A 16234-nucleotide genomic window follows, 5' to 3' on the forward strand; every position below is an offset into this window, starting at 1 on the left:
ACCCAGATTGGTCAACACAGTTTTATAAACAAGTGGTACTTTAGCAACAGCAACCAAAGTCCTATTTAATTAGCCAGTGGAAGGTATCCATCTGTGATGGCCAACTGTTTCCTTTTTCCAAGGGGCTCATCTTCTCCTTTGGTGACCCAAAATGCCTTTTACTTTGAGCCACACCCTCTGCCTGAAATCCTGCAGGATAAAATGGGGATGGAGGTAGAAAGCAAGTGGATCACTTGGTACTGTCTGACTTGATAACCAGCTGTTGAATGGCCTGCCATGGCTTCACTACAAGAATGGGGAAACTGTTCTTTTACGTCTGGAAGAAGGAGAAGCCAGAAGTTTATTTAATCTTTTCTAGGCAACTTATTTTATTGCATTTTTAATTTCCTCTCTTGCATTAACATGACCCTTTTCACTGGCTTCCCACGCCTGGTACTTAATTACTTATCATTAGCAATGTACACGGGGGCCTTGCTGCATATTTATAAATGTGATCATTAGTACATGGAAAGACAAAGGCTTCTTTAAGACTGTCATTAGTTATTCTGTTTTCATGGAAATGTTCATTAGGAGAAACTACCCACCTGGTTAAATAATTATAATTAAGAATTGGTAATCTCCTTTGCATTTTTAACTTGATCTTCCGTCTGTTTGTGTGAAGCTAAACAAGCCTTATTTGGCAAGTATTCTATCTTTCATTTTCACAAGAATTGTCAACAAATACGTACTCTTTGTTTTTAACCTATAGGTGCTGACTGATTTGCAGCATGATAAATATAATTTTTGTAATTCAGCAGTTAATCTCCAAACACGTTAACCAGCTGTGGAATGGTGAGTCAGTGAATGGAGTTAAAGGATCTCTGGTTGATTTTATTTTCTGGACTTCAGTCAGTGGTGCAAATTGGACTCCAGTCTCCCAGTCAAACTTTGCAAAGGGTCCCCTTTAACTCTTCAACCACAGAGACACCACGCTGGGTGGCCACTGGCCACTGCTCCTTTGGGTGTGCCAGGCAAGACAGGTGGCAGTTGGATGGCCCGAGTCTTTGTGTGTCAGCATCTGAGTCTTTATGTGTTTGTGACTAGGGGTAACCACAGCAGTGTCATAGCTGTGGCCCTGCCAATGGCTAGTCAAATAGAGTCCACAAGCACTGTTTGAATTGCTAGCAAATGGTCATGCGGCTCGTACGTGGTTACGTGTCAGCTGAGCTGAAACAAACGAGGTGACAGAAACACAATAAGGGAAGCTCGGTTATGCTGCCGCCCACTCCCCTCTGCCCAGACTGGTTCAAGCCGCCACCCTGGACTGATGAGAATATGCCAGGGATAAACCACAACTGTGGGAAATGCTGGGTGGGGGCATAAATATCATCTGTAAACAATTAGGCAGCCACTGCTCATTCAGTGCCGTTTTGAGAAGCTAAGGAAGTCCGCAATCAGTTATATCTCCAATTACCATAAAAATATATTAGCCATTCATTCATTTATTAATGATTCATCAGTTAACCACACATAATGAGCAAATAATTAGCAGTGCTGTACGGTTGCCAAAATTGAAGAAGTGTTGGCATTTTAAAGATGAAAGGTTGAATTTATGCAGAAGTCTGGTGATGATAAAGTTAATATGGAAGATAATTATAAAAGTGGCTGTCCTCTATTACAGGCTGAGGTACCACAAAACTTGCCTAATTGAACTGAAATTAATATTCTTCCAAAGTCTGTGTGTTGCCACACACAAACTGCTGAATTTCTCTTGAAGATCTCCCTTCAGTAAGGTGCACCGCACAATACAAGTTAATAAAATGCCAGACAGCTAGACTGTGTTCTTTGTTTGCTTGGTTCAGGGCCTCGTGGAAAACAATAAATTGCATTCATGTCAGCTGAGGCCCATCCCTTTGCTAATTACCGTTTGGTGCTGAAATGACTTCTGTGAAATTGGGAGCATGAGGAAACATACAGCCATACAAGGGAGGCTTTTCAGAGTTTTGCAGTAAATGTGAGATAGGCCTCAGGCACACAGATGTTAAAACAGCGAATTCCCCCACAGATTACACTAATGGAAACCCTGTCAGGGTAAGTCAAATCCGGGTCTGTGGTCAAAATCTAATTAAGGTTTCTGTACTTAAAAAGAATATGAATGCCTGGGGGTGGCGATGAATGTATAAGAAACTCACTTGTTTGTAAAATTGTTAGCATGAATAGTAAGTACCGTGGGGCTGTTACCTGCAATGTAACACCTGTTTTCTGAGGCTTTGCTGAATGTCTCAGGATGGGTTATTTCAGAGGTCAGCAAACTAGGCTCAGGCCATGGCAGCCTCCCATCTTTGGGGCCTGGGGCACGGCATGGTTTGAGGTCACAGATGCAAATGGATCCCTTAGAAGTTGCCCTGGAATCCCAAAGGATGCTTTACTTTGCCACATGAAAACCACCCCAGATGATCCTGCCCAACTGCCTGGCGCCACTGAGGAAATCGTTCTTGCCGAGGGTGTTGGACTGGCCAAATCTCCCCTACTGGGGAAACAAAGGGTTGTCTGCTCCCGGCTCGCCCTCCAGCCTGTCGGGACTGCCTCCTGGAACAGCTGCAGCGTGCAGGCGCAGCCCTGCTTCTAATAGAGGAAATGAATTTATAATGCTGCAGTCTCTTCATTTTCACCCAGCACAAATTTCCCCTTAAATACTTAAAAACAACACCCAGAGCTGGATATACCTTAAATTTCCAATAAATGAAACCTTAATCCAGTCTGTTGCTGAGTCTGAGCTGTTATTAAAGAAATAAATTTGAAACAGCAAGTGGTTTGAGAATTTTTGAATTTAATTATTTAAATCTACTTAGGGCAACTGTCACGCGCTATTTCAGTTTCCCATGGAGAACATGAATTCTGGGAAAGGTATCCCACGCAGGGCCCTGGAAATATTAACTTTCATGTACAACTGTGGGCTCAGCCATAGACAGACTGTGCCACCCTCCTCCCCGGAAGAGCAGAAGAAAGAAACTCAGATTTCTTTTTCTGTATGATCCAGCCAAGGGATACAGGATATATTTTTCAAAGAACGAGGGAAGCCAAGTCCTCTTCTTTCAAGTTCTGTGGGCCTCTTCAGATGCACTGTTTACATGGAGTTCGTTTGAAGCTCTTTGGAGAGCGACAGTTCATACAGTCATTCACTGAGCAACGTTAGGGAGCAAAAGGTAAAGAGAAAGTGTAACCTGTATGATTTAAGTGGCCGACAGCTAATTTAGGGTGTGCTCTGGCCTCGTGAGTGTCTGGAGCCTGATTTTTGACATTTGTGAAAATGGACCATCTGCTGTGACTGTCCCAAGGGTGATAGCACCAGGCTTGGGCTGGAGCACCTGAGACTTTTGGTGCCACTTCAGTCTTCAGGCTTGGAGAGAGTCTGCTTTCATGATTAGAGACAGATGACACCCTGGCCTTAGTTCTGAGAGCGCAGGATACCTTCCAGATATTAGCAATTGAGATTTTTAATGGCATCCACATTGGGATGTGGGCGGGGTAGAAGGTGAACAATTTAGGCACACACTCGTAAGTGTCTCCTTCTCCAGTTCACCGGGACTTTGCTATGGCACAAGATGGCTTTGTTTTGGACCCTGTACAAGTTGGTTAAATTACCAGATACCTGTGAAGCATCTCACTAGAGCATGATCTCACCAACACAGTGAGACCCCAAGACCTGAGTCAGAGAGATGCTCAATATCCAATTTGTTTCTCTTTTGTGCTAGCCATTTGATAGTAGTTGGGACCTCAGAGCCGCCAAGTGGAACTTTCCCACACCCAACCCAGACTACCAAGAGGATATTGACTTGGAGTGATTTCTAGATCCAGAGTTCTATTTTTCCTTCCAACATAAAAATCTTCATAGAAGCCAAAAATCTTTAAGAAAAGAGCAGCTCTTAGTGTGGGGCCCGTCTCAGCCTCTACCTTGTACCCAGTAAATGCAAAGGGCTGTGGAAATTGCACACAATTCACAGTGTTCAGAGGATGAGTGAATGTTTTACCATCTCAAAGAGGAGATTATGGGGTTCCACAGGAAATAAGGTCCAGTGGCTAGCAATGCCTCAGAAGTCAAGAGTTTTGGGGTTTATGTTTTTTAATAATGGTAGCAAAGACTTATAGGTAATGCTGGGTATTTAATTTAAAAAATCTATAAATATTTATGGAATAAAACTTCTTTCCAGGTGCAGTTTTGGGCTCTAAGACTTCAGAGAGAAAAAGTCATGGTTCCTGCTCTTGGGAGGCTCTCATTGTGTCTGGGGGAGCAGGCAGGCACCCAACAGCCTGAATCAAACTCCATGTAGCCAAATTTCTACATCATTACAATGCTTAGCATGTAGGAACCCAATAAATGTTTGTTGAATGAATGGATCTGTTAAAAAGGGAGTGTCACGCTTTCTCTCTTTCTAAGGAGTTATTGTGTGAATTAGAGGGTTAACATTTATAACACCTTTTATGCCCCTACATGCTATATAAGTACAAGTTATTAAATATCATAATAAACTAGGGTCCTAGGCAGTCAATTACATTTTCTTCTGAAGTTAGTGACATTTAGATTCTTTTGTTGGGCAGATGGTGTAATATTGCACCTGTTGGAAGAGTAGGCATTTTGGGAAGGGACCTTAATTCAGAACTATTTATAATATAGCAAAGCTCTGGCTTCTTAATAAATGTATTTGTATTGTTTCTCAAGGAGGTAACATAGCTGAACAGTCCGACTCTTTGAATTGGAACTTCTGAAATTGGAAGACCATTATTTCTTAAAACTCTATTTACTCTACATTTTCTCTTCACTTTCTTCACTTCTGATTTTCTTTTGCACTCTCTGGATTGGCTTTTAATACCCAATTTGTTTCCAGCCTTCTCTCTCCTCCACATGTCTCTCTGCTCCTCATTCCTCTCTCTTCGCTGTCTCCCTCCATCTTCCTTCCTTTCCCTCTCCTGCCAAGACATTCCATTTCTCTGGAATGCCCCTCAAGCCACTTTCGAGTCCAACTAAACTATGGTCTGTTGGGAAGTCCAGAGCTGCTGTTTCTGCTTGGATGTCTAAGCTTTCCATAATCCACCCACCTCCTAGTCTACTTCTGGGCAAGAAACACTGCAGCGGCCAGGCCGACTTCATCATTGCTCTGCAAATACCATGTTTGTTGGGCCTTTGCTCTTGTTAATATCTCATCTGGAAGCTGTCTTCTTCTGTTACACCTTTCTAAAGTCCATGTATCAATTGACTGTCTGCTCTTTGAAATTGCTCTTATTTACTTCCTTGATCTTTACCTCTTCTAAGCTCCCAGTGCCCACAGTTTAGCAACCCCTTTTGTTGCATCTCATAATTTAGTAGCTTCTCATATAGGCCCCAGGCTTCTTCTATCTAGAAGCTACAGTGTTCCTTATTATGTGCCAGGCTCTGATTAAGGTGCATTGCATTATTATTTCATTTAATCTCCATGACAACCCTATGAGGTAGACATTTTTGTCATTTCCATTTTACAGATCAGGAAACTAAGGCCCAGAGAATATGACTGACTTGCCCAAGGTCATAAAGTTAGTAAGAGCTAGAGCTAGGTTCTATGGAAGTCACTATTTGCTACCACCCAGATCCCCCTTCAGGATTGAAGCCTTACTCCTCCAGCTGCTGAGAGTACCATTGGCTGACAGCCCTCAGCTGTCTCCCTCTCTGCTCATTGCCCTCTATGTAAGTGAGCCTCTTCACTCAAGGTAACAACCCCTTTCCTGGGTTAGCCTGTGTCCAAAATCTTATATTGCAGGGCTATAAAGGTCTCTCCACTTCACCACAACTTCAGAAAACTCCTAAGTGCAAATCAGCTTCTGAGCTCTCTGTGAGGTTAACTGATGCCTTCTTTGTGACTGTATCACAGCCCAACTTCTCCCTTGACCCAGTCCTGTTTCTTTCCCTGTGCTTTCACTTCTATGAATGGTGATTTCCAAGGGCAGGCACTGATAAACTTTCTATGCAAATCCCTGATTCAAAGTCTGCTTCTCAAGGAACCCAGCCTAAACAGTTGGTACAAGGAGTGGTCCGAGAAAGGCAATGCTAAGATGGGATTCTGGAGCTAGATCACCTGCTGGCTACTGATAGTGAGGACCTCATCTCTGGGAGCGGGAGTGGGTGGAGCAGAGTAGATCCTGGCACAGGGTTGCAGTGATGATGTGGAATGGTATGCTGGTGAAAGGGGATGCACTAGTAGGTGAATGTACCAGGCACTGGAGAAATACGGGGAAATAGTAATGATAAGAGCAATGACAACGGTTGGATATTACTGGAGGCAATTAATGCATTGGATAAGAAGGCAATTCATAAGCAATTAGTATGTAAACCACAGGGCGTCACTACTGGATATCAAGTAAGTCTCATATCCTGTAGTTAGAAGCCAGAAAAAGTTGATATCAGGGCTAGGACTTAAACATAAGATTGAGAGAATTCCTGGGAAGGTTGAATTCTCAACCTAGGCATGTGCGCTGTGCCAGGCAAGGTTCTGATTGGGAAAGAACAAGCCCTTGAGATATTAGATGGTGACATCTGACTTGATGCACTTAAATATCTTGAGTCTCCAGATTCCCTTAAACTCTCTGGGCCTGCAGAAGTGGCCTACTCCTGTCTGCTAAAGGCTAGCATTACTCCTCTCTTGCTTGAAGAATATGCAGGGGCCTCTGCCTTAGAAGACAAATGTGTCCTTCCCACTTTAAGATCTGCCCCCACGGTCCCTTTCTTGGCAGCCAGACTAATAAATAGGGTTAAATCACAGCATTGCCTGGCTGGGGAAGTGCTGGGCCCACTAGCAAAGGAAAGGTACTGCAGGAACTGCAGGATGTAGCTAACAGGCACTGGCAGAATATCAAACATTATTTAAGGACTGGGTTCTGAGAGTACTGGATCAAGGTAGATGGAATGTAAAGTTATATAAGGGAAAATTTATCAATATGGGATCACTCTCTTGGGCTACAGGATTTAGCATCTGGCAAAGATCCTGGGATCCTGCTAATGTACTGCTAGGATGGCTCTCAGAAGCTTGGAGAAAGTAAGAGCTCACATAAAAGGAAGTAGAAATGAATTACTGTGACAGTTGGTGGGAGAAAGGACAAAAAAGCTCAGAGAAATGGGCATGGCAGGATGGGCCAGAAAACCCACCAAATGACTATGTTCAGTGAGAGGGTTCAAAGCAGAGGTTACACACATTTTGAAAAGCAACTCTTGGCATGCTTTGTGACTGTACCTGTTAGTCATCCAATGGTGATGAAGCCAGAACTGCCCATCATGAACTTCTTACTGTCAGACCAAATACATTATAAGGTTGGTGGGTGACCAGAAGTAATTCTTATAAGATGAAAAGGGTACATTTGGGACTGGACACGAGCAGGGCCAGAGGTCAGCAGTAAGTTGCAGGATCCAGTGGCTCAGACTGCCAAGTTTTCATCCACCACCATCATGTTACCTCTGCCTCAGTGCACACCTGTGGCCACATGGGGGTCCCTTATGGCCAGCTGATGGAACATGTGAAAGGTTGAGCTTGGTTCATGAGAAGGTTGGCTTGGTATGTGGGTACAAGCTGAAAATGAACTGCTGCTGCACTTTAGCCCTACTCAGGGTGACCTTGAAGTCACTAATTAGTAGAAATCATCCCAATGGGCATAGCTTTAAGTGGTGTACCTGCTCATCCACTTTGTGTGGAAAGAGAATATGTCTAAGCTCATGGGCAGTGGAAAATGGCTTAGTCAAATGGTCAGAGGACTGGAAGGAAAAAGACAAGGGGATTTGGGGAACGGGTACACATACAGGAGTGGGCATGAAGTGTGAAGAGTTTTGTATCACATGTTAACTAACACCCACCAGAAAGTATTCAACACAAAGATAGAATGACCAGGCCAGTTGACGTAAGCCAGCCTCTGCCATGGGTCACAGCAGTGCTGGCACAATGGGTGCATAAGCGGAGTAGCCAGAGTGGTAGGGTTGGAGGTGATATATGGGTCCACGGCATGGCTCATACTCACCAAATTAATATAGCTCTTGCTGCTGCTCAATCTCTGATTGTCAGCAGCAGAGAACAATTACCAACATGATACTATCTTTTGAGGTCAAAAAGAAGCCACTTGGTGGCAAATTAGCTACACGGCTAGAAGGAGCACCGATTCATTTTAACTTGAAAAAATGATATTTCACAATGGGATTGCCTTTCCCTGCTGCAGAGCCTCAGCCTGCGCCACCATCTAAGAGCTTAGAGTATTTGATATGTCAATAGGGATCCCACATCACATTGTATCATACCACAGGACTCACTTTATGGCAAAGGGGGTGCACCGGAAGAAATACAGCCAATGGTCCTATCTCATATAGCACCACATAGAAGAATCTGGTCTGCTGGAGTGAATGGCCTGTTGAAGGCACAGTGGAGGGACCAGCTTGAAGATGGTATCTGCGAGGATCAGGCACTATTCTCCAGGATGCAGTGTACACTTTAAATCAATGACCATTACCTGGAGCTGTTCGCCAATAGGCGGAACACATGAGTTCAGGAACCAAGGAGTGAAAGTCACTGTGGCTCTGCTTACCATCACTCCTGGTAACACACTTGGGGAATTTATACTTTCCTTTCCTACAATTCTAGGTTTTGCAGGCTTAGAGGTCTTGGCTTCCAAAGGGAGAAAGCTTCCACCAGGGGACACAGAAGGGTCCCATTGAACTCTAAGCTATGGTTACTGGTGGGGCACTTCAGATTCCATGTGCTGAGGAACCACCCTCTTAGCAGCACTATTTGATCCTGATCAAGAAGAGGAGGGCTACTCTTACACAATGGAAGCAGGAAGACCTATTTTTACCACCCAGGTGAGCCATTTGGATGTTCTCTTTGGATGGTCCCTTGCCCAGTTTTGAAGGTAAATGGACAAATGCTGCAACCATGGCCTGAGAAGAGGCTGAGAGGCTCAGATCCCTCAAGGATGAGGGTCTGGGTCACTCCACCAGTTAAGGCACACAGACAAAAGAGATGCCAGCTGAGGGTGAAGAGAATCTAAAATTTTTATTAGAAGAGAGAGACAATGATATCTATTGCAATATTGAGACCAGCAGATGTAGTCTGCCCCAGCCACAGTAGTAGGGGCTGTGTCTGCACAGCTGGAGCTGGTGGGGATACATATTGCTACTCTTAGTGACTCAAGTTCCTTACCTTCCAGTCTACACAATGATTTGGTTCAAAAATAGGCCTCCCATTTCTGATATACCACATTAGATGTGTTGGATGGTAGTTACCATTTTTCCACAGCCTTTTCATATTGTTTGAAGACGATTTTTCATCCAGTGAACATTTATTAAGCATCTACTGTGTGACAGGCTTTGTGCTTGGTACAGGGAATATGAAAATGACAGAGAGAAATAAGAAATAGCCCTTGCCCTTAAGGGCCTTGCGGTCAAGTGGAGCAAAAGATAATTAACTACTGTAAACATTATGGTGAATGCAGTGGTAGAGCTGAGCATAGAGGAGTGATGCCTTATGTAGTTGGAGAAGGATGGTAAAGGCAAGTTTCTAGGAGGAGTTGATACCTGAGCTTAGCCTTGCGGAATAAAAAAAGAGCTCAAGATATGGCAGGAGAATATTCTAGGCAGAGCAAAGGTACACGATGAAAAATGGCATGGATGAGTGTTTCTGTAGCATAGAGGACAAGGTCAGAGATACTGAAGGGTCAGATAATGAAGGCTCTTATAGCCCATGCTAATGAGCATAAACTTCACTGTGTGGATGATGTGGAGCCATTGACAGATGTTCAGTGGGGAGTGTGGTTCTCGAGTGTCCTTCAGTCTATTTTCTTCAGCTTCCTGCTTGCAGTCACCTCTGCTTGAGTGTCTTTTAGTCATTGTCTGTGGCATCTTACAAAAGCCCTACCTGAAGCATGTGGGGATGACGTGTTTACACTAACAGCAAATCTCAGTTCTGGCAGATAGCAAGCAAATCTGGCTGCTGAAAAGACATCCTTAAGGTCACTACCTATTGGTAGGGTCTTCAGCATCAGAGTTGCTGATGCCTTTTCAGCTTTTCTATATTGCTGAAAATTGCCCCTTTTCCCGCAAGTTATTTAAAATGGCAGTGCTCAAAGGCACAGCAGGGGAAGTTGGTGATTGATTATGGGCCCAGAGCTCCCAAAGAACACTGGTTTTTTGACATCGTCATCCAGAAGTTCCTGCACTTTGATAGTGCTCTGAAAGGCCTCATGTTGGCGTGAGCTACTTTGCTAAGTCATTAACATTCACTGATGATAGTTCTGAAGACAGAGACTCCATACAAGATCGTCACATCATCCTAGCCACAAAACCTGAGATGTCAGCATCCCAAGGGAGCTTAAAGCAGGCAATGAACTCTGATGATCAGACAATATGTTATCTAGTGATGACCTGAGGGGCATGGAAGGAAAAACAGTCAGGAAAGACCATTATGTATTAGGAGACAAGGAGACTTGGTAGCTATTTCCGCAATAAGCTCCTGACCAAGTTAAAGGTCAACATTGAATCGCAGGGTGAATCCAGTATTCCCTGTAGATGAACTTAAATATGAGGTAGAAACCTTTGGTTTCTTGGTTGTTTTCTTTGCTAATAACCATACAGAACACATATTGGTTGGTTAGAATAATCGACAATGAATTTGAGAACTACAGCCAGTCTACTGGGATAGAAACCATGTTTGTTTGCAGAAATGTGATATTTTTGAAAAATTATAATGTCAGCAGGATGTCCTACTTGGGCAACTGTTCTAAATTAGAGATCCATAAAAATCTCTAAAAACGGAACCATTTGTATCCTGGGTTAGTACTTGGTCTTCCCTCATTTCCCATCTAGTCCACATAGACATAAATGCCAGATGTTGTTCCAGCATAGCCCAAGGTGTCAACCTACATACTGCACACAGAGACTCAGAGTGAGGCTTTGCTACTGAAAATCAAGTTTGAAACCAGACATCATAATTGATGATACAGAGTGCCCTTTAGAAATTTGATAAAAGCTTAATGTAGCAAAGACTGTATAAGACAACAACGAAAGGTGAATGCTACAACCAAAATTGTGGGGCCAGCCTTTTGTGAGTAGTTTTTGTGAGCAAAACACCTGGTATAGATTGAATGTGGGAAAAGCTTTTAAAAGTTTTTTTTAAACCTATTAAAGCAACTGTTAAATTTAATTTAAATGTTTTAGATCTGCATAAAATGGTCATATTTCCAAATGGATGGAAGAACTGAGGATTGATAGTTCTCTAGGAGTTTCTAGTTTTCTAACCATGTCTCTTTCCCCTCCTTCAATCAATTGCTCCTCTCCTTCCTTCTCCTGTCGCTAAAGCTCCTTTCAGTCGCTAGTAAGTTGAATTCTTTAAGCCCAGTATAGTTTTCATCCTGTTTCCATTAGAAGCCCAGAGGTTCCCACAGTGTTTCACTTGGTTGCTCTGCCTAGAAGAGACTGAAGTATAGACATCAACTGCCATTGATTCTTGTTGAGCTGGGCTGAAAGATTGACTGAAAGGGAAGTGAGTGATGCTTGGTTCCCAAAAGACAATAGAGAGAGTAAAAGAAGCAAGCTTTCTTGGTGGAGAGAAGGACTGTTTCAAGGAAGTGATAACATTGGATCCAAATGGACTTTCTAGCCCTAAATTTGATGTGTCAGTTTCATCCATTTTTGAGTCATTGAAACCGAGATAAAGATGTGAAGTTTCTAGACCCAATTGTTATTAACTTTAGGACCTGGGTTTCCCTACCTGAAGCATGGAGGGATGATACAATGATCTCCAAGTTTCCTTTCAACTTGAAAATTTTATGAAAAAGAATCACATATGGCCCCCCGGCTGGTTATATTGCTACTGTTATGTTTTCTTTAAACCAAGTCTCAAATCCATTCAATATGAGGTAGATTAGTAATGGGAACCAGAAACTCGGGAGAGGCCACCCTCATATACAGGGAATTTACTGTCTTGCGCTTTGTGTTTGTGTTTATTTTTACAGACTCCTTGGTGACGGTCGATTCTAGGGAAGTAACATTGATATAAATCCAAGTGGAGGGAGAAGTTTTCTCCTTCATGTCCCCTTCCCAAACAACCTAGCTTAGTTCATCAGCTTCTGTTGACATTATTTATAAATGCTAATGAACTCATAAGTGCTAATTAATAACTCCATGTGCTGCTATTTACTAGCAAATATAGGAATCCAGGTGCAGTATAGACCTGTCCCCAAATACAGTACATTTCTTCATCTCTGAGCCAAGTAGCATGTCTGGGATGACTCTGTTCCAATACTGCCGAAGTCAGTGCCATACACACTTAAAAAATACACCCAGGAGCTACACTTAAACTCTCACAACAGCATCATCTTCTTATTACCCACTTAGATAAGAAACCAGGGTCAAGTCCAGCTGTATTAGTCAGGGTTCTCCAGAGAAACAGAACCAATAGGATATATATATATAGCTCTATAGAATGAGATTTGTTATGAGGCTGAGAAGTCCCGCAATCTGCTGTCTGCAAGCTGGAGGCACAAGAAAGCTGGTGGTGCAGTTCCATTCCAAACCCAAAAGCCTGAAAACCGGGGGAGCCAATGATGTAAGTCCTGGTTCAAGTCTGAAGGCCTAAACACCAGGAGTTCCAATGTCCAAGCTCAGGAGAATGTGGATGTCACAGCTCATGCAGAACAAGGGAATTCACCATTCTGCCTTTTTGTTCGATCTGATCACCCAACAGATTGAATGATGTGCCCACCTGTGTTGGTAAGGTGGTGAGGGAGTGAGGGAGATTTTTGTTTTGTTTTGTTTTGTTTTTTTCAGACAGGGTCTGGCTCTGTTGCCCAGGCTGGAGTGCAGTAGTGCAGTCTCAGCTCACTGCAGCCCTGAACCCCTGGGCTCAAAGAATCGTCCCACCACAGCTTCCCAAGTAGTTGGGACTACCAACGTCTGCCACTACGCTCAAGCAAATTTATTTTATTTTCTGTAGACATGGGGTCTTTGTATATTGCTCAGGCTCGTCTTAAACTTCTGGCCTCAAGCAATCTTCCCCCCTTGGCCTCCTAAAATGCTGGGATTATAGGCATGAGCCACCACCCTCAACCTGGGAGCACTTCTTTACTCAGCCTACCAATTTAAATGCTATGCTCTTCCAGAAACACACAGATAAGCCCAGAGATAATGTTTTCCCAGCCATCTGGGCATCCCTTAGGCCAATCAAGTTGACACATTTGGTTAACCATCACACCAGCAAATGGCAAGATTAGGTTGGACTCCCGATCTTGAGAATGGAATGCTCCAAGTCAGTGAACTCACCCCAGCCTGATCTGGAGCATATCAAGGCATTGTCTCCTTGCTACAGAGTGGGACAGGAATCCCATAGGGGCAGTATGGAATGCTCTGCAAGGTTGGACTAAAGAAGGTCTGTGGGGCTTTAAGGGGCACTGGATGCCAGTGCCTTTGCTCTCTTATGGGTGTAGCTGCGTCTGTCTCCTCCAATGGCTGGTAATCTCTGGAAAGCCAGGAGCTCAGTCTGTCAGGAGCCAAGCCTCCCTACACATGTGCCATATTGATATTGCTGATGGATGTGTGGACTTGTGGTCTTCTTTGGGAGACCTTGAACTTTCTTCAGCAAACAAGGAGATGAGGCCAGACCTTGGTTCTAGTGATCATATTACCTGGAGTTTATCAAACACGTATGATGTACCACTTACTATGTACCAACTTAGCATCAAATTCCCAAAACAGTGCTATTTTGTAGTTATTATTTATCACTGTTCCATTTGAGCATTTTGTAAGCTGAGACAGAAGGATAATGTAACTTGGCCAAGGTCATACAGCTGGTGAGTAGCAAAGCTGGGGTTTGAACTGCCTGGTCACCCTGAATGAAGCCCCTGTCTAGCCCACCGCCTTGGGTGCAGCTCCCAGTGTGACTGCAGACTCCAGCAATGGAGGCCTGTCCCTGCACAGGTGGCTCTGTGCTGTCGGCAGCCCTGCTCCCTGGGCGTCTTCCTTCCTCTCTCTTTCCAGGACCTGTTTTCTCTCCAGATTGAGGAATTGGATCCAATTCCCTTTCCCAGCTGCAATTTGCCTCTGAGCCCCCAGAACCCCTCCTGAATTGGAATCGCCCTTTCCCCCAGCAGCGCTCTCCAGCCCTCTCCTTTCCTCTCAGGGCCCAGCTCCATCCCTTAAAAGCACTGTCTGGGCTACATTTTAAAAGTCACTGTTAAATAAACTTAGGACCCACCCCCTCAGAGAGAGAGCCGTGGTTACAGGGGAGCAGAGCTGAAGGCAAACACTTGTATCCTTGTATTAGACCCAGGCTGGGGAGCAGCACAAGCTATTTCTTTTGGATGCGCCTCCTAGGAGTGGAGGAACTTTTCTTTGTAAAGAAAGAGAGGATCTTTATAAACCTCGGACTTTTTTCAAGGAGGCTTTATGGGTGGCAAGGATAAAGCTATAGAGGCAGGAAAAAGAGTTGCTAACTATATGCCAGTACAGCATACTTTTTAAGGGTGGGGTGTGGGAGGAGGTGGGGAGCTTCCCCTCAGCCGCTCTTTCCCTGGATGCAATGAACTCATGGTCCTTTGACACCTCTGCCACCGCTCCATGGGACAGCCTGACCCCCTCCATCTCTGCTCCTCACACTGGGTGGTGCTGGAGGGAGAGGGACCTGTGGCTGTGTCTGCCAGTCCCAAACGCCAGCAGCTGCACAGTCCTGCTATAATTGCTAATATCTGTTTCTTCTCCTTTCCAGGCCTTGGAAAGTGTTCCAGGAATGGACTTTCTGCAGTATGATGACCTGCAAAAGCAGCCCTTCCATTTACATTTCAAACTCCAAGTCAGCCGTGTCAAAGTTTGAACCAGAACTGTGGAGGATAATGGGTCAGATGCAATTAGCAGCCCAGAGAACCACACGTTGCAGTCTGATTTATTTTTTTGCCCATCAGATTCCAAGAATCCTAGTGCTTAAAAGCAACTAAACAATCGCTCTATTGTACTGAAATAAAGCCCGGTTAATTCAGAAATCAATTGCACCACCAGGTGGGGCACACTCTGGCCCCAAACAGATGGGGTTGAAAACTCCCCTCAAAATGCAGTCTTGTTAAATTAAAAACTTGATCCAGGAGTGGAACAAATAGGGAGCCATGAATGGAATGGAGTCAGGTCCACTCAGGCGGATTCTTTCTTCTCCCACTCCTTTTCCTTTAAAAAAGAAAAATTCCCCATTTCACTTTCATCAGTGTTAGCATCTATGCAGAAACGCAGCCATCCACCCTTTGCAGTTGAATGTGTTACTTTAATTAGTCTGAAAATTAAAGGGCAACTCCGGGCCAATGTGAATGATTATGAAAATACATGTGCATCCCATGCAATCTTCTCATTTAATTAATAGTCTTGTAAACTATATGGCTCACTTTAAGTCAGTCAAGAGGTATAACAACTCCATTTTAAATATCCACTTAATACTTAACAGGATGTGAGGAACACACTATAGCATACGGTCCCTTCTCAAGTTTCACTGTCTGAAATTTTTCAAAGCTGACCCAAGTCAACCTGAAAAATGTTTAACACCCTGGGCTTGAACACAAGAAACTCTGTGATGAACAGACATTCAATTACATTTTTTAAAAGTGAGAAGCATTTTTGTAAAATAGCGACTCTGGAAACTAATTGGCAGCCGCAAAACTTGTGAGCAAAGGCCAAATCTTGTGGGGAACTTTTACTACAGTAACACGACTCAAAGAAAATGTGAATAAAAGGCATCTTTGTTTCCCAGTCAAATTAGCTGATTAAGAAATAAAACATCTTAACATGTTTTTAAATGTAGAATTAATTATTTATATGAGAAAAATTAATGCCTGGTTATGTGAATTCTACTCTGTGTGTGAATTGAATGGGGCAGAAAGAGTAATCCGTGTGGATCCATGTCTTAGGTCATTAAGCAAAACTAAATATTAAGAGCTCCGGTTATGGAAAAAAAATCACATTCAGGTCACATGTTGTGCTCCCCATTTTGATTTTCAAAGTCCAGATTAGTTATGGTCTACATTGAAAATGTGATTCAGAACAAGGAAACTGCTTTGTATTGGCTGAGTACTGACAGTTGAGTGGAAGAAGAAAACACACAGCTATACAAAGAGCACAGCCAACTCCTGGGAGGGAACACAGGCCTTTTGCTCCAAAGGAACCTGGGAAAGATTCACAGAAAGAATTTGAACAGGCCATTCTTTATTTCCTAATGGTTGA

At 43.6% G+C, this 16234-nt stretch overlaps 1 long non-coding RNA gene across 1 annotated transcript in view; it reads left to right on the top strand.

Annotated features, from left to right (window-relative positions):
* Window positions 1-15810, top strand: part of LINC01140 (long intergenic non-protein coding RNA 1140) — a 39440-nt gene extending 23630 nt beyond the window's left edge. Inside the window, exon 3 of the long non-coding RNA NR_026989.1 lies at window positions 14742-15810. This is a non-coding gene — a long non-coding RNA (long intergenic non-protein coding RNA 1140). The remainder of the gene's footprint in view (window positions 1-14741) is intronic.
* The last annotated feature ends 424 nt before the right edge of the window (window positions 15811-16234 follow it).

The sequence above is a fragment of the Homo sapiens genome, chromosome 1 (genome assembly GCF_000001405.40).
Source record: "Homo sapiens chromosome 1, GRCh38.p14 Primary Assembly".
Classification (NCBI taxonomy): Eukaryota; Metazoa; Chordata; class Mammalia; order Primates; family Hominidae; genus Homo; species Homo sapiens.